Genomic DNA, 24929 nt, shown 5'->3' with positions numbered 1-24929 from the left:
GCTACTGATGCCCGAAGGGCTTTTCCTTGCTGGGATGAGCCTGCTATCAAAGCAACTTTTGATATCTCATTGGTTGTTCCTAAAGACAGAGTAGCTTTATCAAACATGGTATGTATGTGTTTATAAGTTTATCTAAAATTTTAATAGGCTTTAGCAGATTTAGTTTGCTGATTAGATGGGATAATATGAAACCACCTACCACAGTGCTGGTATATTATAGGAACATAAATAATAGTTTTCTTTATTTTCAATAAGCCTCTTTTTCTTTCTTTTTTTTTTTTTCTGTAGACTTGGGGTCTCATTATGTTGCCCAGGCTGGTCTCAAACTCCTGGGGTCAATCTGTCTTCCTGCCTCAGCCTCCCAAAGTGCTGGGATTAGAGGCATGAGCCACCATGCCCAGCCAAGACCTCTTTTTCTTGATAGCTTTATTTTTGGAGGATTTTCTCCTTGTCAAATTCCTTGTTAAATACATTTATAAGATTATCTACTTCTTTTAATTTAGAGAGGTAAATTGACAAGTTTAATAGATTTATAGTAACTAAAAGCAAAAGTCTTGGGCTGGATATGGTGGCTTACACCTGTCCTCCCAGCACTTTGGGAAGTCAAGGTAGGCAGATCGCTTGAGGTCAGGAGTTGAAGACCAGCCTGGCCAACATGGTGAAATCCTGTCCTTACTAAAAATACAAAAATTATCTGAGTGTGGTTGCACACACCTGTAGTCCCAGCTACTTGGGAGGCTGAGGTGGGAGGATCACTTGAACCCAGGAAGCGGAGGTTGTAGTGAGCTGAGATCACACCACTGCACTCCAGCCTGGGTGACAGAGCCAGACCCTATGTCAGAAAAAAAAAGAAAAAAAAAAGAAAAAGGTCTTGACTTATTAAATGTCATAAGAAAGCCAGGTACAGTGACTCTTGCTTGTAATTTCAGTGCTTTGGGAGGCTAAGGCAGGAGGATTGCTTGAGGCCAGGAGTTTGACACCAGTCTGGGCAACATAGTGAGACCTCATTTCTACAAAAGATTTAAAACTTAAAAGTTAGCCAGGTATGGTGGCAGGTGTCTGTAATCCTAACTACTTGGGAGGCTAATGTGGGAGGATCTCTCGAACTTAGGAGTTTGAGGCTACAGGGAGCCATGATTGCGCCACTGTATTCCAGCCTGGGTGACAGAACAAGACCCCATCTCTTAAAAAAAAAAAATAGGCCAGGCATGGTGGCTCATACCTGTAATCCCAGCACTTCAGGAGGCTGAGGCAGGTGGATCATTTGAGGCCAGGAGTTCGAGACCAGCCTGGCCAACATGGTGAAACCCCATCTCTACTAAAAATACAAAAATTAGCCAGATATGGTGGCAGGCACCTGTAACCCCAGCTACTTGGGAGGCTGAGGCAGGAGAATTGCTTGAACCTGGGAGGCGGAGGCTGCAGTGAGTTGAGATCGCGCCACTCCGCTCCAGCCTGGGTGACAGAGCAAGACTCCATCTCGGGGGGAAAAAAAAAAGGTTGCAACAGAGCAAGACCCTGTCTCTATCTTTTTAAAAAGTTAAAAGAATTCAAAAGATGTAGCTGCATAATGAAGTATATTTAGGTTTCTGGCTGTTTGTATTCTTGGAATGTATTCTCTTCACCAGTGTTATTGATCTCATTCATGAACAGGGTAAGCATTCCCCACTTGAAGTGTGTTGTCTAGGACTGTCTTGTGTGGGGAACTTGGAAAAACCTGCTGCACCTGAAAATAACTCTTTTATGTATTTACTGGGGGAGAGCATCCCATAAATAGAATGTCATTCTCTTCACACATATTCTTAGAAGAGGAGGCTAATACATTAAGCAGAAATATTCATTCACACTTTAGTATGAGTGAATTTATCAGTGTGTTCTTGAATAAGTCTTCCTTGGAAGGAAGAATAGAGAGAGCTTGAGGAAATGGAGCCTGAATAGGAAAAAGAGGGAGAACACCAAAGGAAATTAGGGACTCCAAAGGTAAAGTTGAAATTTCTTCACAAATAAGCTTAGAGCCAACTTTGGTAGAGAATGCCCTCGATCTAGAAGTTTGTATCCTTTGAAATGGGAGATTCTACAATTATATTATATTTTTTTTATTTATTTTTGAGAAGGAGTCTCGCTGTGTCGCCCAGGCTGGAGTGCAGTGGTGTGATCCCAGCTCACTGCAAGCTCCGCCTCCCTGGTTCACGCCATTCTCCTGCCTCAGCCTCCCAAGTAGCTGGGATTACAGGCACCCCCCACCATGCCTGGCTAATGTTTTGTATTTTTAGTAGAGACGGGGTTTCACCATGTTAGCCAGGATGGTCTTGATCTCCTGACCTTGTGATTCGCCCGCCTAAGCCTCCCAAAGTGCTGGGATTACAGGCGTGAGCCACCGCGCCTGGCCCCTATTTTATTTTTATTAATAGTCATTTTCTCCTAAACTTATGTCAGTTGAAAAGTATGAAGCCCTTACTTAAATCATCCCAATGCCTGGCTTATAATAAGTATTCGAGAAAAGTCCATTCCTCTTTTCTCTCACAGGTCCTTGGTAGTTTTAACACTTCAGCCTCCAGCTTCTTAGTATGAGTGTTTTATCAGACCACTTTCCTTCTTAAAGACAGCATAAAAGCACTGGATGAATTGGGGTAGAGAAATAAGCCATGCTAGAATAGAAAGGGGGAAAGAGATGCAATAAAGCCTACAGTTTTTGGCTGGTATTTGCTCTATGGTATTAATGTAAACCTATTTAAATTTTTCTTTTTTTTCTTTCTTAAAGAATGTAATTGACCGGAAACCATACCCTGATGATGAAAATTTAGTGGAAGTGAAGTTTGCCCGCACACCTGTTACATCTACATATCTGGTGGCATTTGTTGTGGGTGAATATGACTTTGTAGAAACAAGGTCAAAAGATGGTGTGTGTGTCTGTGTTTACACTCCTGTTGGCAAAGCAGAACAAGGAAAATTTGCATTAGAGGTAAATGTACTTGAAGAGGATTGTTCCAGCAGTCCATAACTCCAGGTTGGGGAATTTACATTTCTGGTCAATTATTAGTACAGTTATTTATAATTTAATCTGAAAGTTGTGCTACTTGGTTTATTTTTAATAGAATTTAGGAAATGCCAACCTTGGTGTTTCGTTATTTTACAAAATAATAATTAAGAGAATATAAGAGTGGAATTTCTCTAGGGAATGGGTTGGAAAATATGTAGTTATATTTTTCATATCAAGTTATAAATGGATTAAAGTTTGGCCATTGTATTCAAAGTTTGGAGCTAAGGCAGTCTTCGGAGGTAGGGCTCCCTGGGATTCATTTCTAGTAATTTAAGATACATTGGCTTGCAACAGGATTCCTTTGTGGGTTTCAATATGAATTATAATAACATATTTATTAGATGGTTATTTTGTTTATACTTTTATAGGTTGCTGCTAAAACCTTGCCTTTTTATAAGGACTACTTCAATGTTCCTTATCCTCTACCTAAAATTGATCTCATTGCTATTGCAGACTTTGCAGCTGGTAAAGTAAATTTCATTTTATTGCTGAATTGTAATAACTTTTTAAAATTTTGTGACTTTTGATGCAAGAGTATATATATATATATATATATATATATATATCTCAATAAATGTTTATATTTATTTTGTGAAGGTGCCATGGAGAACTGGGACCTTGTTACTTATAGGTATGTTAATGATGTATTACCCTGCCTTATCTTTTCAAATCACTGATTTCAAAAGGGCTTCCCTCCTAATCACAGTTGAGTAGCTTCTGCTTTACGATATGGTGTAAATTTTTCTACCTTCCCCCACTTCCATGCACATTTCAAGAATGCAGATGGACACCTCTCCCTTTGGTGCTACTGTCTGAGGGTGTAAGATTTTAAAGTGAGCATCTGGCGGTAGTAGCATTTTTAGATATATTCTTGGCTAAGTTTCTCATTGCAGTGCCTTTCTTTCCTGCCAGTAGTTTCACAGCTATTTATCCAGCTTGGAGAACCTTCCCTAATTTCATATCTTCTAGCCAAGTTTTTACATGTCTGTCACCACAACATAAACATGTGAGTTGAATAACTTTTAAAAGCAGAGTCTGTCTGTAAACAAGTTTTTGCCTTCTACTTTCAATTGCCTTCTTAGATGAGCTAAGTGTTGAACGGCCGGCTCAGTGCTGTTTTTGGGACTATGGAATGCATCTTCCTCCACCACTCCCCTCATTTAATGAAAGGACTTTCTTCTCTCTCCATCTAGCACAGTAATCGCTAATCCCTTAGACAATGTTTTCCCAAAATTTCAGGCAGCTATTCTATCAACAAACTGATAATTAAACTTGTGTCACATCTTTGATATTCTGTTGTATTAATTCTGTTGGGGTAGTCTTTAATCTTCGTGAAACTTTTTCTTTCCATATTAGGAAATATTTTCCTAATATCTCTAAAGCCTAACTTGTCCATCTGACTTACTGTCTGAATCTTCCCAACTTATGCATGCCCACTTTTATTGTTTAAATTTGTTTCTCTTTTTTTTTTTTTTAAACATAGGGAGACTGCATTGCTTATTGATCCAAAAAATTCCTGTTCTTCATCCCGCCAGTGGGTTGCTCTGGTTGTGGGACATGAACTTGCCCATCAATGGTTTGGAAATCTTGTTACTATGGTATTTAATATTTTTAAGTGCTCAAATATATTTATCTTCATCCTACTCCACATTATTTTGGCTACATAGTATTTCAAGTTTGGCTGCAACACTGTGCCAAAAAATAATTGAGTGATAGAAAAGTATTATTTTAAAAGGTCCACTTTGAAAGGGCTTATCAGAATCTCTGCATTGAACAAGGGCATATGGACAGTCTTTATTCAACAGACACTTCCTAAACTGTTCTAAAATTTGTCTGCAAATGGGAAAAGTCAAGATACTAATTTGGGTGAGAGGAAAAGATTCCTCTTAGGTGTAGATGAATGAATCATGCAGTGAGATTCCAGGCTAACTGTAGTTTCTTGAATCTTATTTGTTAATCTGACTCACAGCTGAAAAGTAACCTGATGAATAACAGACTGATCTTTAATTAGAGAGAAATGTTTTTAGGAGTCAGTTTTTTCATTGCCTAAAATGTTAAGTTGAAATTTAATGAAATAAAAGTAAACAAACTGCAGAGTGACTGCAGAATAAAGCTGTATTAAAATTCCAGCTGTTCTGTTGAAATCCTTATAATGTTTGCAGTAATGATCTCTGTCCTTCAGTCCTGATTTTTCACTCTTACTCTAAGTAAATACTATTTATGAATGCCAACTGTGTTAGAGCTTGGGAGCACAGGATTTAATAAGTGAACTAGATGTACCTCTGCAATTAAATAACTGGATATTCTGGAGCCAGCTAGATTCCCTGACATTTTAGGCTGCCAAAGAGCAGAACCTGATTTGAATGTAGATTGAGTCCATACGTTATATAAATAAGAATGTAAGACATTTATCAACTGTTACGTGTCTCAGAGAGTTTCTACAGAAAGTCAACCCTTGAAAATAAATCTTTTCCTTTTATTTTGGATGTTTAAAATTTTACAGGTGAAAAAAATTCTTTGAAATATAATTTCAGGCCGGGCACGGTAGCTCACGCCAGTAATCCCAGCACTTTGGGAGGCCGAGGCGGGTGGATCACTTGAGGTCACGTGTTTGAGACCACCCTGACCAATGTTGCGAAACTCCATCTCCACTAAAAAAAAAATAGAAAATTAGCTGGGCGTGGTGGTATGCACCTGTAATCCTAGCTACTCTGGAGGTTGAGGCAGAAGAATCGCTTGAACCTGGGAGGCAGAGGTTGCAGTGAGCCGAGATCACGCCACTGCACTCCAGCCTGGGCAACAAGAGTGAAACTCCATCTCAAAAAAAAAAAAAAAAAAGAAATATAATTTCATGTGGAACTATGTGTTGGTGCCTGTATTCAAATATGTGAAGAAATGGCCTTTTCTTCTAATGCAGCGAGTTTGCTACTTCGTACCAAATAATTTTTTTGCTTGGCTTTGAGATAACTTTATGATTTTATTTTGAAACTACAAGCAATAAATTTTAGTAGGGGAAATGTGTACATTCTTATTAAACAACTTTTTACTGGTTTTATGTAACTATTCTAGTTATTAGAACTGAAATTCCAAGGGCTTAGGGATAGGTTGGAAAATAAGTTTCATTTTATGCTAGTTTATTTTAGGAAGCTACTAGGCAAATAGCCACTTATCACTTAATATCAAAATAATTTTTTTTTTAAGACAGAGTCTCACTCTGTCAGTTAAACTGGAGTGCAATGGCACAATCATGGTTCATTACAGTCTTGACCTCTGGGCTCAAGCAATCCTCCTGTCTCTGCCTCCTGAGTAGCTGCAATTACAGGTGTGTGGCACCATGCCCAGCTTATTTTTGCACTTTTTGTAGAGACAAGGTTTCACTGTATTGCCTTTTGTAGAGACAGGGTTTCACTTTGTTGCCTAAACTGGTCTCAAACTCCTGGGCTCAAGCAATCCTCCCACCTCAGCCTCCCAAAGTGCTGGGATTACAGGCATGAGCTACCACACCTGGCCTTTTCTGGGGGGACTGGTTGGGGATGGAGAATAGGATCTCACTTTGTTACCCAAGCCGGAGTGCAGTGGCACAATCATGGGTCAGTGCAGCTTCATCTTCCTGGGCTTATGTAATCCTCTTGCCTCAGCCTCCCAAGTAGCTGGGACCACAGGTGTGTGTCACCATGACCAGCTAATTTTTTTTTACTTTTTAATTTTTTTAGAGATGGAGTCTCACTGTGTTACCCAGGCTTATCTCAAACTCCTGGGCTCAAGTGATCTTCCTGCCTTGACCTCCCAGAGTATTGGCATTACAGGAGCAAGCCATTGTGCCTGGCCTGCTTTCTTTCACTAATAGGCTTAATCAACTTTAATAAAATTTAGATTAAGATCTTTAAAATTTTTTAAAAACTGATTTTATCTGTCACTCATATTCTTTGTCCATTCCATTTACTATGCATTCTTATTTAACAGGTGATAATTTCATATTCCATAAGTGCTTAAACACCATTCATTACTGAACTACATTTTTGTTTAATTTCACATAATTTTTATATAAGCAGTACTCTTTCTCAGTTTCTCTTGAACATTCAACTCATTAGTGAGTGGTTTTCCCCAGTCATTTCCATTTTTCTTTATTTGGCTCTGATAGTTTTCTGTTTTTGTTTTTCAGAGATAATCCTTTACTATACTAAATTCTACGTGATTATATTTTCCACCTCTATTTGCCTATATTTATCTGCTGTCTTTTCCTTTTCCATATATGGGCTTATTTTTTTTTTCCCTCTTCTTCCTTTTCTACCTTTGGTATTTAAAAAGTTACTTAGGACTGAGTGCACTGGCTTACGTGTGTAATCCCAGCACTTTGGCAGGCTGAGGCGGGAGGATTGCTTGAGCCCCGGTGTTCAAGGCTGCAGTGAGCTACGATGGTGCCCCTGCCACTCCAGCCTGGGCAACAGAATGAGACCCTGTCTGGGTTTGGGGGAGAAGTTATTTACAATGTTTTGAAAATATCCTTTGGCCCAGGCATGGTGGCTCACACCTGTAATCCCAGCACTTTGGGAGGCCGAGGCAGGTGGATCACTTGAGGTCAGAAGTTTGAGACCAGCCTGGCCAACATGGCAAAACCCCATCTCTACTAAAAATACAAAAATTAGCCAGGCATAGTGATACATGCCTGTAATCCCAGCTACTGGTGAACACTCCAGCCTGGTGACAAAACAAGACTTTGTCTCAAAAAAAAAAAAAAAAAAAAAAAAAAAGAAAGGAAAAGAAAATGACCCTCAGATATAATTCTAATATCACCAGTTGGCCTTTCTTGACATCTCTTTTAGTCTTCTCTCTTTTTCAGAAATGTGAGTTCTTTGCGAAATGTTTTGAACTGAATTTTAGGTCATTAAATTGTGAGTTTTGGAATATAGTGGAAGGGACATGTGAGTGTTTTAGATTAGTAGAATGACAATCATTTCAATTTCTTTAAGTATTTTCATCTTCTGTTTTTAGGAATGGTGGACTCATCTTTGGTTAAATGAAGGTTTTGCATCCTGGATTGAATATCTGTGTGTAGACCACTGCTTCCCAGAGTATGATATTTGGACTCAGTTTGTTTCTGCTGATTACACCCGTGCCCAGGAGCTTGACGCCTTAGATAACAGCCATCCTATTGAAGTGAGCCATACTTTCTAACCATTAGCCTATGACTGCTCTCATTTACAATGAAATACGTAATTTGTTACATAGGTACTTTGGACTTTGAAAAGAAGAGAAAATAGCATGGGTGATTTTACTGGTTCATATTTCTAGTCTTGAAAAGCTAGTAAGTCTAAGTTCTAATTAAACATTTCTTTTAAAGGTAGGCAGTAAAAAAAAATTGGTCTGGCCAGGCGCAGTGGCTTACGCCTGTAATCCTAGCATTTTGGGAGGCTGAGGCGGGTGGATCACCTGAGGTCGGGAGTTTGAGACCAGCCTGACCAACATGGAGAAACCCCGTCTTTACTAAAAATACAAAATTAGCTGGGCACGGTGGCGCATGCCTGTAATCCCAGCTACTCGGGAGGCTGAGGCAGGAGAATCACTTGAACCTGGGAGGCAGAGGTTGCGGTGAGCCGAGATCGTGCCATTGCACTCCAGCCTGGGCAACAAGAGCAAAAAACTCTGCCAAAAAAAAGAAAAAGAGTAGTATGGGAGAAGTCATACCTATTGGGTAACACTATGGTTCCATTGTTTATGTCAAGGAAAATTCTGGACATATTTTATTGTCAGGGTCTGTTTTGTGAATACTTTAATTCTCTTGACTTAGCCTATCCCTACTTCAGTTTATATATATAAATTTTGTATCTAAAGAACTAGAGTTATAATCCTACTTCAACATATTTAATTAGGCTCCCATATAATTGTAATTCATTACAATTAGTGCAAGAAATCTAATGTTCTTCACCTCCATGTCTTCCTCATCACTCCTCTGCAACTACCCCAAAAATAAACAGAACCATAGTGGCTTCTTTCCCAGCAGAACAAAGCCAGGACTGGAACCCAAGCTCTAAGGGATGACAGGAATCATGTTCTATTCAACTTTATTATTATTAGTTACTACATTTTTTTGAGGACCATCGTTATACATTATGAGTGAGTTAAAGGCAGAAAAATGTAAGTTAGAAGGGTTTTCCTAGAAAGCGTTTTATGTAATTCAGTATTACAGGCTATCTGCTTCCTGTCATAACCCTGAATCACACTGTCTGCCAGGTCAGTGTGGGCCATCCATCTGAGGTTGATGAGATATTTGATGCTATATCATATAGCAAAGGTGCATCTGTCATCCGAATGCTGCATGACTACATTGGGGATAAGGTAAAAAAAAAAAACTTTAAGTATTTCATTCTTTCATGGTGAAATCATAAGAGTTTTGCATGAAAAAAAGTCTCACTTTATTTGGATTAAGTTCCCAAATAGTTTCTGGCTTGTCATTTTTTTTAATGACCAAAAAGAATGAGAATTCAATTATTTGAAGTTGACTACTGTGGTCTCTTAGATGAGTGATGTGCAGGTGTGTTTGGGAGTGGAAATGGGAGGCTGTTATAAAACTTAAGAGCAAGAATAGAAGGCATAGAGTACGCATTATTAAATAAAAGGCAGTAGGCATCAGAAGGATATATGTGTTTCAGTGTATCTGATACTTGAGTATTTGAGTAAATTTGTTTTTGATTACTAATATACAAATATACTATAAATTCTGAGATCTGACTTCCCTGGATTTTAAAAATTGTGTTTTCTCAGGACTTTAAGAAAGGAATGAACATGTATTTAACCAAGTTCCAACAAAAGAATGCTGCCGCAGGTAATCTTTAATAGCTTGAGATAGAAATGGAGAGAAAGTATTGTCACTCTATCCAGGCTGGGACATTTTATTTTTGTTCTGAATACTTAACTCAAGGTCAGGATCCATGTAATAAATAAATTAGCCTTATTTGAAGCTGTGTTCAGGTTGAATATCTCTAATCTGAAATTTGAAATGCTCCAGAATCTGAAACTTTTTCTTTTCTTTCTTTCTTTTTTTTTAATTAAAGTTCTAGGGTGCATGTGCACAATGTGCAGGTTTGTTACATCAGTATACATGTGCCATGTTGGTTTGCTGCACCCATTAACTCGTCATTTACATTAGGTATTTCTCCTAATGCTATCCCTCCCCCAGCCCCCTACCCCATGACAGGCCCTGGTGTCTGATGTTCCCCGCCCTGTGTTCAAGTGTTCTCATTGTTCAATTCCCACCCAAAATCTGAAACTTTTTGAGTGCCAACGTGATGCTCAAAGGAAATGCTCATTGGAACATTTTAGATTTTGGATATTGCAATTATAGATGCTCAGCTAGTAAGTATAATGCAAATATTCCAAAATCCAAAAGAAATATGAAATTCAAAACATTGCTGGTCCCACGCATTTTGGATAAGGGACACTCAACCTGCAGTAAGTCATAGGGTCAACATGAATCAGGACTCATTATCCCTTTGGTCATCCTCCAGCATTCTGCTTTCCATAACTGAATATTTTGCCAACTTAAAGAGTCTGGGCCGGGTGTGGTGGCTCACGCCTGTAATCCTAGCACTTTGGGAGGCCAGGATGTGAGGACTGATTGAGCCCAGGAGTTCAAGACCAGCTTGCAACATAGCGAGACCCCACCTCTACAAAAAATACAAAAATATTAGCCGGGTGTGGTGGTATGTGCCTGTAGTCCCAGCTACTCAGGAGGCTGAAGTGGGAAGGGTCACTTGAGCCCAGGAGTTTGAGGTTACAGTGAGCAATCGTGGCACCACTGCACTCCAGCCTGGGCAACAGAACAAGATCCTGTCTCTGAAAAAATAAAAAATCAAGGGAATAGTCATGTGTTGCTTAACAACAGGGATATGTTCTGAGAAATATGTTGTCAGGCAATTTCATCAATATGTGAACATCATAGAATGTACTTACAGAAACCTACACAGTATGTCCTAGGCTATATACACCTAGCCTACACGGTATATACCCTGTTGCTCCTAGGCTACAAAATACCTGTACAGCATGTTACTGTACTGAATACCATAGGCAATTATAACACAGTAGTATTTGTATACCTGAACATTTCTCAATATAGAAAAGTTACAGTAAAAATATGATATTAAAGATGCTCCATCAGCTGGCTGATATGCCTATAATCCGAGCACTTTGGGAGGCTGGGGCAGGTGGACTGCTTGAGTCCAGGAGTTTGATACCAGCCTGGGCACCATGCCAATACCTCGTCTCTATAAAAAGTACAAAAATTAGCTGGGTGTGGTGGCATGTGCCTGTAGTCCCAGCTACTTGGGAGGCTGAGGTAGGAGGATCATAGTTTCAAAGTGTGGCACTTACTGGTTCTCCACTCACTCCCTCCTGCCGTCTTGTGAAGAAGGTGCCTGCTTCCCCTTCCCCTTCTTCCATGATTGTAAGTTTCCGGAACTGCAAGTCAATTAAGCCTGTTTCCTTTATAAATTACCCAATCTCAGGTATTTCTTTACATCAGTGTGAAAACAAATGAATACAGTCCCCTTCCCTGAGGTGCCTTCTCCTTAGGCAACCAGCTGCCCCCATGCTCCTCTTCTGCCCCCCTGGTATTTCCTTTCCCCTCATGAGGCCCAAGTGATCCACATGGCCAGCCACAGCCCCATCCTACTGCAGGCCTGTGTGGCTGCTAGAGAGGCCAGGCTCCTTTCCGCACCCCGAGGCTGCCCGATATGCTTTCTGCATCCTGTAGAAAACTGACCCACTATTCTCATACTGGTGCAACTTCTTCCATTACCTCAAAACTGGACAACGTGAACTTGTTTCTTGTCTCTTCTTGCTAGGGCTGTCACTGGGACAGTCCGAGATGCGGGGGTGGGGGGAGACAATGGATGAATGGATGGATGAATGGACAGTAGTCCAGGGAGATGTCCCTGTGTGTCCTGAACTGGGACCTTCCTCCAATGAGAAGCCTTCCTGAGTGAGTTTATACAGTCATCCCTTGGTATCCATGGATTAGTTCTAGGGTCCCCGGGGATGCCAAAATCCATGGATCCTCAAGTCTCTGACATAACATGGCCTAGTATTTACATATCAGCTATGCACATCCTCCCGTAGACATTAGACCATCCCTGGATTATTCATGATGTGTAATACAATGCAGATGCTACATAAATGGTCGTGATACTGGATTCTTTAGGGAATAATGACAAGAACAAACTCTGCACATGTTCAATAGAAACATAACCGTCCAATTTATTTTCTGAATATTTTCCATCTGCTGTTGCTGAATCTACAGATGCAGAGCTCCTGGATACGAGAGCCAAGTGTGCTTTGAGAGTAGGGTGGGTGAGGTTGCTAATGAGTACAGGGGAGCAGGTGTTGATCAGGAGGACCCTGCACTGGGGCATCTGGACGTCCTGCCTCAGGACTTGAGACTCCAGTTGGATGGCACAGGCAGACTCAGCCCAGGTCAAAGCCGTCCCCTTGAAGTTTCTTTTTATCCCAAGCTCTTTCTGGCCCCTGGAATTTGGCATCCCCTAGGCCCTGTGTGGAAGGACAGATGAACCAGGTTTTAGATAACATGTCTAGAAGAGTGAGCCCCTACTGTGTGCCCGGCACTTTCCCCACAGGATCCTCTAGCTAGAATATCCAAGGGTCATGGAGAGAAATACCCAGTTAAAATATCAGAAATGAAAAAGCGATACCATTAGAGACACTAAAAAGACCATTAGGTAATAGTACTAGCTTTTGTATTCTGAGATCCAACAGCAGCAGTCACTTCCCTCCACCGCTATGTGTATCCCAGGACCACCCTGGGCGGGGAGGGCTGAGGTTAGGGAGCAGCCATGGATGCTCTGATGCTGGCCCTGGGCCTCGGGGGTGACAGTGATGAGGAACTGGGTGCACACATGAGTGGGGCAGCCGGGCCTGGCCAGAGAAGCAGCACACACGTGCACAGATGTGTTTACCCACATACACATGTGCACGCACGTGCACAAACACATTGCAGGCAGGCATGTTGACGCCTCAGGCAGCGGAGGACCCTGACTCTGGGCGCTGCTGACCCGGGCAAGGCCCCACTGTGATTCGTGCCATGACCTCAGAATGTCACTGGTGCTTAGCACCTATCTGCTCTCTGGTCTGCCTCAGTGGTCTACAGCAGTTACACACAGGCAGTGGTATCTGTGAGCAGCTCTGTGGACTCAAAGGTTTTCTCCCTGAGAGGCATGACCCAGGCCAGCTGATTCATCAGAATCAGGTGAGCGTGACCTGCTCTCTTCCCTCCAGGCGGACTTGGGGGCAGTGGCTACGGTGCGGGCGGTGTTGGCCTCTGTGGGGCAGCTACCGAGGAGGGTCATCCCTGAGCACTCACCAGGCGCCCGTTCTACACTGCCCGTGTAGACGATTGGCTCTTTCGTCTCCATGGTGGCTTCGTAGAGTGGGTGCTGTTCCCAAATGTCCCCATTCGACAGATGAGACGTCTGGGGTCAGAGAGGCAGTAACCGGCCTGGGAATCCGGACATGACCCTGAGTTTTGCTCTCAGCCCTGCCGTGTGCTGTGCTGGAATTCAGGCCTGAACCCTGTGACCTCCCTGCCCTAGATCCCAAATCTGCCCAGGTTTCCCATCCCGATGGGGCAGAGCCTGGTCCTGGCAGAGCCACTGGTACAGAGCCACTGACGGTCCTCAGAACACCTCTGTGCCCTAAGCTGGGTCCTGATGGTCGCTGTGGGCCCCACTGAACACACATGGTCCCTTGTCCGGGGGAGCCTGCTGCCCTTGGGCAGCTGTGGAAAATGAAGGAGCCCTGGAGGGCTGGCTGAGGGGAGACTATCTTCCCTTGTGTTCAAAGGGGTCCGGGCACTAGGGTTCTCCCCAGGTATTTCTTGCTCTGCGTGGTCCTCTTGAGGCCTCGCCCTCCTTTTGCCTCGAGTATTCCCAGGAGGGACGGTCCATCCAGCTGTTCTCCAGGACCAAGGACCCACTGTTCTTCCTCAGTGACCCAGGAAAATGAAGCCTCCTCCTGTTGGGACGGCTCAGAATGGTGGACTCCACAGTCCCTCCGCGAGAGACGTGGTTTCCATGCGTACAATAGATCTTTCTCATCCCCCAAACCCAACACCCTCCTGCTCAACAGGCGTTATTCCTAAAGTGGCTTCACTGTTCAGACTGAAGAGCCACGGTAGCCAAAGTGATGAGCGGAGTAGAACCGAGCAGTCGGGAGAGATCTTGTTCCCTGTAGGAAACTGGGCATCGCTGAGGCCCTGAGCATCCCAGGAGGCCGATTGCACAGAGACCTCTGGTCGCTGACCCCAGTCTGCCTCCACATCCCTGGAATAGCCCATCATGGGCCCTTCACCCTTGGCAGGTGGAAACCATTCAACCTGCTGGGGCCAGTGTGTCCCCATTTCATGGCATTGGGGGACAACAGGATTCTCTGTCTAGGTCCCACTGTACTCAAGTCCTTGGGAAGATGCCCACCCCTGCTTGGGACTTGAGACTCCAGAGACTGGAGCAGCTGTGGGCCACTGGGTCTGGCCCCTTTTTCCCTGGGGGCGGCGGTGGAATGGGGGTTACGCAGCCAGCCAGCATCTGGGAGCCCGGCGAGAGCGGTTCAGGTGTTCTCCGAAGCCGCCGCGTACGGTGTGACCTTTAGACAATTCTGTCTCACAGGATGGACGTGGTAGAGGTCGCGGGCAGTTGGTGGGCACAAGAGCGAGAGGACATCATTATGAAATACGAAAAGGTACAAGTCGGTCTGCTTCTTGGAGGGAGGCCTCTTCCAGTGTGCCCTGGTCAAAGGGTCCTGGGCTCCCTAGGAGCACAGGGCAGGGACGGGTGGCCAATGCCCCCAGGCCCTTGCACCCTTTACCTTGGACCCCTCACCAAGGCTCCCTCTGGGCTACAGGGACACCGAGCTGGGCTGCCAGAGGACAAGGGGCCTAAGCCTTTTCGAAGCTACAACAACAACGTCGATCATTTGGGGATTGTACAGTGAGTCCTCTGCACTCCCCTCACCCCTAAAGCACCTGTCTCAGCTCAGGGATGGGTTTGCTTTTAGAAAGGCCTTTCTGACGCAGGACATGTCTCACCAGGTCGGGTCAACCTCCTTTCCAGGGACAGAACTCCTCCCTGACTCCCCTGCAGGTCCAGCCCGAGGTTGTTAGGCCAGAGGTGTGGGGCCCATCTAGGGAGCCGGTGGGAATGGAGACTGGGCTAGGTCAGGCCCCTGGGCGCTCAGCAGTTCTGTCGGCAAGTGAGCACAAGAGGAGCGGGGCAGCCTGAGGGTCTGGCCCTGTCTACTTGGAGACAAACCCGGTGAGATGCAAGGGTTATGGCCACAGGGTGAGGGGACTCCTGGCCCAGCCTCAGGGCTGTTGTGCAGCAGGTCTCTGAGGGCCCACCTGCCCCTGTTCTCCCCCATTCCCCTAGAGCTACAGCCCTCACTGTCCCGTGAGGGGAAAAGGCATGGTGACAATGGGGGCTGTAGCCCTAGGAGAACGGGGGAGAAGATGGGCAGGGCCCCGTTCTGGGCATCTCACGGTGAGGCCAGGGAGGCAGCAGGGCTCGCGGCTAAAGACCTGGGTCTGGTGCTGGGAAGGGATCTGGGGCCGGGTAAGAGGAGCCCAGCCAGGAGCCCATCCCTCAGGGATCACAGGATGGAGAGACAGAGGATCCCTGGGGAGGTAGGGCGGGAGGGAGCTGACGAGCCGTGCCACTTCTGAAACGCAGGGTGTGTGGCTCGGGTGCAGGGAGAGGCAGGTGGATGCTGGGAGGTCAGAACCTGCAAGGGCCTTGGGGCTGTCAAGTGGGGTGGGCCCCTGGTGCAGCCAGAGTACACCGGGCAGGTCTCAGGGCAGGCTCCCTTGACCCTGGCGGGGGGATGTGGTCACTCCCTGAGGGACTCCTGTCAGGGCCCGGTCGCCCACCCTGGGCGGCCCCCATCCCATCTCAGGGCTAACCTTTCTCAGCTCCAGCAGAAAGCACCACCTCGAGTCCAGGACGGGCAGCCCCATTGGGCAGCCTGACCGCCCCCCACGCCAGGGGCCCCAGTAACCCCGGCCAGGCTGTCCCTACACTCCTTCTTCTCCCAGGTCCTGCCCCTCCTGGGAGTCAGCCCCACAGGAAGGCCCTTGTCCTCCCTTCCCTGTGCCTTCTCCTGGGCTGAGCCCTGAGCTGGAAAGGGACAGAGCCAGTCCTTTCTGGGGGTCGGCACCCAGGCTGGGGCCGCTCCAGGCCCCGTGCAGTTCCTCAGCTCTGCCTGGGTTGCCTTACAGTGAGACGGAGCTGCCTCCTCTGACTGCGCGGGAGGCGAAGGTAAGAGCCTGATGCGTGGAGGGGCTGGTCCAGGGACGTAGGGACTGGGCGGGTGGTCAGTGAGGCAGAGGAAGCAGCTGGCCTGAGCGGTGGCGGGTGAGGGCAACACGCTGTCACTGGGAGGGGCAGCAGTCCCTGCTGGACCTGACCCCAGGTTGCTGTTCACTTTGGCAGTTTGATAAAATTCCAAAAGGAGAACCACAGTCCTGGCTTGGGGGTGGCTGCGCGCTTGTGTCAGGACCCCACCTAGAGGCTGGGACCTAAGACTGGTGTGTCTGTGGCCTGAGGATGGTACATCCCGGGGTCCCAAAGCCAGCCCACTGGTGCTCATTTGCTCAAAGGCTCTCAGCCCTTGAGGTCTGCCCTTCCCTGGCTCCTTCCAGCTGGCTCCCACCAGGGCTCCAGAGCCCAAGACCCAGCATCCGCGGGCGGCTCTGGGAAGCCTGGCAGCTCCGCTAACTCCAACATGCCTCATTTGACAGCAAATTCGGCGGGAGATCAGCCGAAAGAGCAAGTGGGTGGATATGCTGGGAGACTGGGAGAAATACAAAAGCAGCAGAAAGGTAACGTGTGGAGGGAGGAAGCACTCTCTGCAGAGACAGGGGACAGGCACCCATGGCTGTGGCCTGGCACCATCAGCCTCTCAGAGGGTGGGCGGCACACTGTCCTCGCCCAGAGGACTGCAGGCCTGGTCGCCAGATTTCCTGCCTATTCGTGCAAGCGTCACCTTGCAGGGAGGGAATCTGAATCTAGGGCTGGGACTACCCGGAGCTCAAGGCTAGGGATGCCCTGGGGACCTGAAGGAAGGAAAAGGTTCAGATCAGAGTTTCGACTCTGAGTGTCCATCCACTCTTTCAGTCCTGGGAAGGGAGACCCTGTCCCAGCTTGATCTCACCTCTACTGAGGAATCATGGGGCCAAAACCGACAATTTCCAGAATCCCCGGGCTCTGGTCCTCACTGGGGTCACCCCGTGGCCTGTGACACCAGATCGTTTTCTGCCCACAGCTCATAGATCGAGCGTACAAGGGAATGCCCATGAACATCCGGGGCCCGATGTGGTCAGTCCTCCTGAACACTGAGGAAATGAAGTTGAAAAACCCCGGAAGATACCAGGTACGCTCAGCCAGAGCACAACAAACAGGACAGGCCGTGTCGGGGCCCAGGTCTCCAGCTGGAGGGAACGTCAAGACCACCCTGGGGAGCTGGGGGTGAAGGTCAGATGAACACCCTGGGCACAGATGGTGACACAGTCACCACAGACAAACTCAGCTCTGGTGACCCTCCCTGGCTTCAGTAACAAGCCAAAATGCAGCTTTCTGCAGAAGGAAACCTTCCTTCTGTCCTTCCTTCCCGAAGTGCTGACTGTGGGCTGACTGCCACTGGGGGCAGGGAGTCTTCCATCTGTTCTGAGACTGCTTCCTCCTCTTGGCCCTGCCCTACAGATCATGAAGGAGAAGGGCAAGAGGTCATCTGAGCACATCCAGCGCATCGACCGGGACGTAAGCGGGACATTAAGGAAGCATATATTCTTCAGGGATCGATACGGAACCAAGTAAGCCTACGGGAGCCACAGGGTCCCAGCAGAGATGGGGTGAATGAGAGGGATGGGGGCTTCCCCGGAGCAGAAGCCAGGGTCACCCAGGAGGGATGACACAGCTGCCAAGAGCTCTCCCGGCCCAGGGAGCAGCCGGCACCATGAACCGAGCACCTCCCTGGTTCCAAGCCCTGGGCCAGACTGGAACATGTGGGGCCAGAACCCAGGAGGATCCTGAGGAGATGGAAGGCAGCAAACAAAATCATGCACAATGGTGAAGGGTGCTCTCCCTGACCCATGGGGACCCATGGTAGGACCCACGGGAGGGTGGCAGGATAGAGGGCCCATGAGCCCCCGCCAGGCAACAGTGACAGCACCAAATGCTGGGAGAATTAGGGGTCCTGGAAACTCTCATCCAGGTCCGCTGGGAACATGACATGGCACAGCCACGTTGGCAGCCCGTTGGGCAGTGGCTCACAAAGCTCGATGGACTTGAACCACACATCCCCAAAGTGTCACAGATATTGAACCCACTGATTTGCAAACTGACATCCACATGAAACCAGCATGCCAGGTTCACTGCTTGACTCCTCGTCACTCACACACGGAGCCTTCGGGGACGGCCTTCAACACGGGGATGGGGAGAGCAAGGCTGGTCCTCCCTTCAAACGGAAGACCCAGTGAGAAAAGGGAACGAGCCGGTGATGCCCGCACGAACGTGGGTGGATCCTAGATGCATTTTGCTGAGGGACAGAAGCCAGACCCAATAAGCTACCACCGTAGGATTCCCATTCCTAGGCCATTCTGGAAAAGGCCAAACCACAGGGACTGAGAAGCAGTCTGGGTGGCCAGAGGCTGACGGATCGGGGAGAGGCTGGGTGCATAGGGGCCACCCTGGAGACTTGGAGGATGAAGGAGTCGCCCCAGGAGGGGCTGGAGCGGTGGCCGGGAGACTCTGCACATTGGTTTGGAACCGTGGAGGAACTGTACACCCACAGACTGAACTGGCGTGTATGCAAACTGAAAAAAAAAAAAAAATCATTCAGAGTGAAAAGGATCAGGCAAGTCACTGTACAACTGGGCTATTTGCATGTCACAGATGTGGATTTTACTGAAACATTTCTTCAAGAGTCTCAGGCCCTGAAGAGCTCACTGCTTATCTGGTGAAACATCTGAACCTGAAATGGGATTTGCTGTTAGGCTTTGTAGACAAAGTGAAATTAACAACATCTGCACAAAACAAACCAAAGCCCCCTTTCTCTGTTTCCTAGGCAGCGGGAACTACTCCACATCCTCCTGGCATATGAGGAGTACAACCCGGTGAGTATTCCCGGCAGTGAGGTTCCCGGGCCATATTTCCATATTGACAGGAGTGGGTGTCTGGTGGGGGTGTCGTTGCTTCTTTTAAAGTTAGTATTTGTGACCCACCAGGATATAGGAGGTAGGATGTCAGCTCACCGCTGGCATAAACCTCCAAGGAAGGGGGTGGTCTCAAGGGGTCAAGCTGAGACACAAAGGAGTCAGGGCCTGGACTCCTGGTGTCACCTGGGCCTGACCACCACTTCTCAGAACAAGAAATGACGCCCTCCTCCTGGGGCTGCCCCAAAGCCCAGGAGCTTGGCAGCATCGCACACAGGATGGTGCTATCAGCAGACATTTTGGACAAGGTGCTGAAGTGCCTGATGGACTTGGCTCTTGTCATGAAATGAATGTGCATCCTGAGGAAGCCTCTTTTTCAGAGGAAGCCTCTCCTTCAGAGGAAGCCTCTCCAGTCACCTCTGCCCTCTCCAATGACATGAGTCCTCCCGGGTGACCTCAGCCCTCCCAGGTGATGTCCTTCCATGGTGACTCTGGCTCTTGCAGGAGGTGGGCTACTGCAGGGACCTGAGCCACATCGCCGCCTTGTTCCTCCTCTATCTTCCTGAGGAGGATGCATTCTGGGCACTGGTGCAGCTGCTGGCCAGTGAGAGGCACTCCCTGCAGGGTAAGTGAACAGCTGCCCCGGGGACCTCCTGCAGCCAGACCTGGGGATGGCCACCCTGGCCAGGTGATCACAGCTTTCAGCCAAGGCACCCTCCTTGTGTCGCCAGCTTGTTGGGAGACTTTAGGATGTCTCTGCTGAGGGTCCCACAGGAGTCCACGGCTGACCCCCAAAGCCCAAATCAGACGCCTCTCATCCCCATCAGCAGAGGGCATCTCATCCTCCCCGTGGCCACCCTCTGTGTCCTGGAGCCACGCCCTCCGGCTCTGATTCTGTGCAGCTGACTCTCCCCTCCCTGAGAGTCCTCCTGCCCTCCAGCTGCCCGGGCTCCTGCTGCCATCGGTGCCCACGAACGGGCCGACCAAGCCCAGGTGGCAGCATCTCCCCATCCCCTGTTCCCTGGCCCGACCCCACTACCAGGAGATGACCGGGAAGCCCAGCGCCCACCCAGTTCCGGCCACCCTGTCGTGGCCTGAAAGTCAGGCTTGCCCTTTTTGCACCCTGGCCCAGGAGGCCTCCAGGGGAACCTCCAGCCAGGCTCCAGGGAATGTTCCCGCCCCACCTCCCCAGGGTAAAGGCCGCATGTTGGGGTCACCAGATGGGAGGGTGGGAGGCCTTGGGGTTTGGGGGCCTCTCCAGCTGCCCAGCTCTTACAGCTGATGGCTCCACATCTTGGGGGAAGGCTCTGATTTCATGATGGGCTGGGGGCTTCTCAGGATTTCACAGCCCAAATGGCGGGACCGTCCAGGGGCTCCAAGACCAACAGGAGCATGTGGTAGCCACGTCACAACCCAAGACCATGGGGCATCAGGTGAGTTTATGGTCCCCTCAGCTCTTCCCAGAGGCCCTGCCTCCCGTGGGACTGTAGGAGCAGGGGGGCTGGAGCCCCTCGTGGGGCTGGTGACTGGCTGAGTCCCAGCCAGGGCCTGACCTGGGACGTCGGGTTCTCCATGGGCTGGGAGTTGGTTTCCTTTCCTGCCCTGGAGGAGACAGAGGCACAGGGATGGGGGCCCAGCTCCCGCAGAGCAGGGCAAAGGGCAGTGTGTCCACCGGGAGTGTGGGAAGGTGACAGTGTTGTGGGGAGCTCTGGACACCGCCCAGTGTTCTGCACTAGGGGAAGGGTCTTCAGAGGCCCTGGAAGAGGGAGGTTTTTAGGGCAGCCCAGTGGCCTGAGCACCTCTGTTGCTTCCATCAGGACAAGAAAGATCTATGTGGGCAGTGTTCCCCGTTAGGCTGCCTCATCCGGATATTGATTGACGGGGTAAGGAGGCATAGGGAGACCCTGGCTCAGGGACCTTCCTTGCCCTGCAGTGCCCTGCTTCCCCAGCCCGGGGGTCTGGCTCACTCCCAGCCCACAGGAGGCTCAGGCGGGTCCCCAAAGGACACACAAGCAAAACCCTCTGCCCAAGGGGGGTCATCCCAGGGCCATGGCTGGGGCTCAGGCCCAGCCTCATGGGCAGACTGGGCCAGGACCCGACTTGAGAGGGCTCAGGGAAGCCTCAAGCCCTGGGCAAGCCCCTCTCTCCAGGAGCCACATCCCCACTCAAATGAGTGCCCCCCATGAGGAGCTTCAAGACCTTGTCTGACCCAGCGTCCTGGAGGGCTCAGGCGACCCTCATGGGGAAGGTCACTGACTCTGGAGACTGAAGCCCCAGTGTGCGCAGCTCGAGCCACCAGCCCCAGCCTGGAAGGACCAGGTTCTTTCACACCTGCTGTCCCCACAGATCTCTCTCGGGCTCACCCTGCGCCTGTGGGACGTGTATCTGGTAGAAGGCGAACAGGCGTTGATGCCGATAACAAGAATCGCCTTTAAGGTTCAGCAGAGTAAGTCTACGTGTGCCCAGCGGGGCCTGGGGAGCCCTGGGGTCAGACCCCGACTGGCCCGAGGGCAGCTTCCTCACACTGTCCTCATGATCCTCTGTTCTGGCCCAGAGGGAGGTCTGGCCAGGTGGGCTGGGCAGGACACTGTGACACCGAGCCCATCCCCCACATGACCCAGATGAAAGTCGAGAGTGTGGTGAGCACTTCCCTGTCCGGATCGCCCCCCAGCCACAGTCTCCTGTGTATATCTGGACACCTGGGGTGGCCACAAAAGGATCCGGCACCGCCCAGTAGGAGACTGAAGTGGCCACGGGGTATGAGCTGTGACCATTCCCAGGTAACTCCCCTGGCCTGATATCCACCCTGTCCCTAGAGCGCCTCACGAAGACGTCCAGGTGTGGCCCGTGGGCACGTTTTTGCAACCGGTTCGTTGATACCTGGGCCAGGGATGAGGACACTGTGCTCAAGCATCTTAGGGCCTCTATGAAGAAACTAACAAGAAAGAAGGGGGACCTGCCACCCCCAGGTGGGCTCCAGTGCCATGTCCCCTCCCATGTCACCCTCTGGGGTAGTCAGTAGTAGGGGAGTGCCCGGGACCCGCAACCCTACTACCTGGGCCTTCCTCTTCACCTTTTCTTCCTCCTCTTCCTCCTGGACTCTAAGAAAGTACAGGAGGCCCACCGGTCCTCAGGGCAGGCGCTCAGTGCGTGTATACTGGACATGCTGTGCACGCAGGAGGGGGATGTGGGCAAGACCCTCCAACAAGCCCCCTCCCACTTTCCACGGTGTCTCCCTCTCCCCCTCGCAGGGCCCTCCAAGTTACTAGACGAGCCCAGACCCATTTGTGGGAGACCCCGCCCCTCCCTGCAAGCACCCACAGCCTCAGAGAGCAGCAGAGGCCCCTCACTCCTGCACGCTCCTCCAAGGTTGCCAGGACAAGAAGCCTGGAGCCAGGGAGACAAGGGAATCCGTGTCCCTGACCCACAGAGCATTCAGGGAGAGGGCACAGGCGGGACCCCGGGCCCAGAGCCAGAGCCAAGAGTTCAGCCAGAAGTGGGAACGGTCAGTCCTGGCATGGACTGGGCAGCCCAGGAGGGCAGAGGGTGACCCACGTCCGGGCCCAATCACCCACTGCGGAGACGGGTCCCCACGTGAGGTGACAAGGGGCTGGGTGACATCCAAGGCCCCTCCCACCTGAGTTCTGACTGGGGGCCGTATCCCAGGCCCAACAGCCCTGGGACGAAGGTGTGTGGCAGGAAGCCCCCAGCCAGTCTGAACCCTGGGGGCAGTCCCAGGAGCCACCCGCCATGCCACGACAGCTTCCCCACGCCAGGCAGCATGCACCCCTCCCTCTGGGATCAGCAGACTACAGGCGTGTCCTCGGTGTCAGGCCACGGGGGCCACACAGAGACCCCGAGGACTCCAGAGACGCAGGCAGGTGGGGCCCAGCCCGGAAAGGCCTGCGTGGGCTCACTGGAGATGCTGACCGCGTCTGTTTTCCTTTCAGCCAAACCCGAGCAAGGGTCGTCGGCATCCAGGCCTGTGCCGGCTTCACGTGGCGGGAAGACCCTCTGCAAGGGGGACAGGCAGGCCCCTCCAGGCCCACCAGCCCGGTTCCCGCGGCCCATTTGGTCAGCTTCCCCGCCACGGGCACCTCGTTCTTCCACACCCTGTCCTGGTGGGGCTGTCCGGGAAGACACCTACCCTGTGGGCACTCAGGGTGTGCCCAGCCCGGCCCTGGCTCAGGGAGGACCTCAGGGTTCCTGGAGATTCCTGCAGTGGAACTCCATGCCCCGCCTCCCAACGGACCTGGACGTAGAGGGCCCTTGGTTCCGCCATTATGATTTCAGGCAGAGCTGCTGGGTCCGTGCCATATCCCAGGAGGACCAGCTGGCCCCCTGCTGGCAGGCTGAACACCCTGCGGAGCGGGTGAGATCGGCTTTCGCTGCACCCAGCACTGATTCCGACCAGGGCACCCCCTTCAGAGCTAGGGACGAACAGCAGTGTGCTCCCACCTCAGGGCCTTGCCTCTGCGGCCTCCACTTGGAAAGTTCTCAGTTCCCTCCAGGCTTCTAGAAGCATCTGGGCCAGGGCTCATGGCTGGATAATTTCCCTAGGCTTAACAACCCAAGCAAGCTTCGCATCCTCGTTTTATTTTTGGTTAAACTTATGAAAATGTATTAAGAAAGAGTGCAGCTCGAGAGAGATTCAGAGATGGAACACACCAGACCCCAGATCACAAAGCCAACCATGCCCAGCCCCTCCCAGCACCCCCAGCCCCACGACCATCGTTCTGAATTCTGACGACACCGTGAGCCTGCCTTTGTACTTCAAACTCATGGAAGGATAACCACCTTCATGTTTTGAAATAAATGTTTCCTGTTGAAATGATTTTAGATTTTAGACAGAAATATTGAAAAGGCACTATAGTATCCTCCTATACCTTCCATCCAGCTGCCCCTAATAATGATGTTTTGCAGTCCCATGGCACATAAGAAATTTAGGCCGGGTGTGGTGGCTCACACCTGTAATCCCAGCAATTTGAGAGGTCGAGGCGGGAGGTTCAGGTTCACTTGAGTCTAGAAGTCTGAGACCAGCCTGGGAAACCTAGGTGGACCCGGTCTCTAGAGAAAAGTCAAAGAAATTAGCCAGGCATGGTGGCGTGTGCCTATAGTCCCACCTAGTCAGGAGGCTGAGGCAGGAGGATTGCTGGAGCCCACGAGTTCCAGGAAGCAGTGAGCCATGATTGCACCACTGCACTCCAGCCTGGGTGACAGAGTGAGACTTTATCTCTTAAAAAAATTTAAGAAATTTAATGTGGGTACAGTTCTATTAACTAAATAATAATGTGAACTATTATCTAAGGTTATGAAGGCTAGAATTATCCCATTTTTGCCTAACTTCTCGTACCTGTCCCAAGATCCCACCTTGGACTCACCCTCTGCCTTCAGCTCACGTCTCTTCAGCTTCCTCCACATGGTCCAGCAAACACACACCTGGGCTGAATGGTAGAGCTGATTGCTCATACACAAAGGTAGACCGGTGGGCAGGGATTTTCAGACTTACACAGTCAATGAGTTTTCCTTGGTGTTCTGGAGAGCACCGTTTGAGAAACACTTTGACAGTGAATCTAGGCCTCAAGATCCATCAGCTGCTCTAGCTTGAATTTTGCTCAAGCTCAGTGAACACCTGCTCTGCCGGGTGCACGTGAAAGGGGCAAGGATGAGAAAGCTGTA

The 24929-nt window shown here is 49.4% G+C and overlaps 1 protein-coding gene and 1 pseudogene across 2 annotated transcripts in view; both read left to right on the top strand.

Annotated features, from left to right (window-relative positions):
* Nucleotides 1–10003, top strand: part of NPEPPSP1 (NPEPPS pseudogene 1) — a 61510-nt pseudogene extending 51507 nt beyond the window's left edge. The window contains exons 5-12 of the transcript NR_036750.2: nucleotides 1–108; nucleotides 2762–3007; nucleotides 3409–3505; nucleotides 3638–3671; nucleotides 4524–4638; nucleotides 8033–8197; nucleotides 9272–9376; nucleotides 9803–10003. The product of NR_036750.2 is annotated as an NPEPPS pseudogene 1 (transcript). The remainder of the gene's footprint in view (nucleotides 109–2761; nucleotides 3008–3408; nucleotides 3506–3637; nucleotides 3672–4523; nucleotides 4639–8032; nucleotides 8198–9271; nucleotides 9377–9802) is intronic.
* A 3184-nt stretch (nucleotides 10004–13187) lies between these two features.
* On the top strand, nucleotides 13188–24084 carry TBC1D3 (TBC1 domain family member 3). The gene is made up of 14 exons (NM_001123391.4): nucleotides 13188–13298; nucleotides 14713–14785; nucleotides 14948–15033; nucleotides 16317–16356; nucleotides 16839–16919; nucleotides 17363–17470; nucleotides 17800–17909; nucleotides 19163–19211; nucleotides 19755–19875; nucleotides 20589–20683; nucleotides 21068–21133; nucleotides 21597–21696; nucleotides 22067–22219; nucleotides 23201–24084. Exons 2-14 carry the CDS (start codon nucleotides 14714–14716, stop codon nucleotides 23767–23769), a joined length of 1650 nt encoding a protein of 549 aa, NP_001116863.3. The 5' UTR covers nucleotides 13188–13298; nucleotide 14713; the 3' UTR covers nucleotides 23770–24084.
* The last annotated feature ends 845 nt before the right edge of the window (nucleotides 24085–24929 follow it).

This window comes from Homo sapiens, chromosome 17, assembly GCF_000001405.40.
Source record: "Homo sapiens chromosome 17, GRCh38.p14 Primary Assembly".
In the NCBI taxonomy this organism is placed as follows: Eukaryota; Metazoa; Chordata; class Mammalia; order Primates; family Hominidae; genus Homo; species Homo sapiens.
The sequence above is the reverse complement of the archived record's forward strand: the minus strand, read 5'-3'. Positions and strand labels throughout refer to the sequence as shown.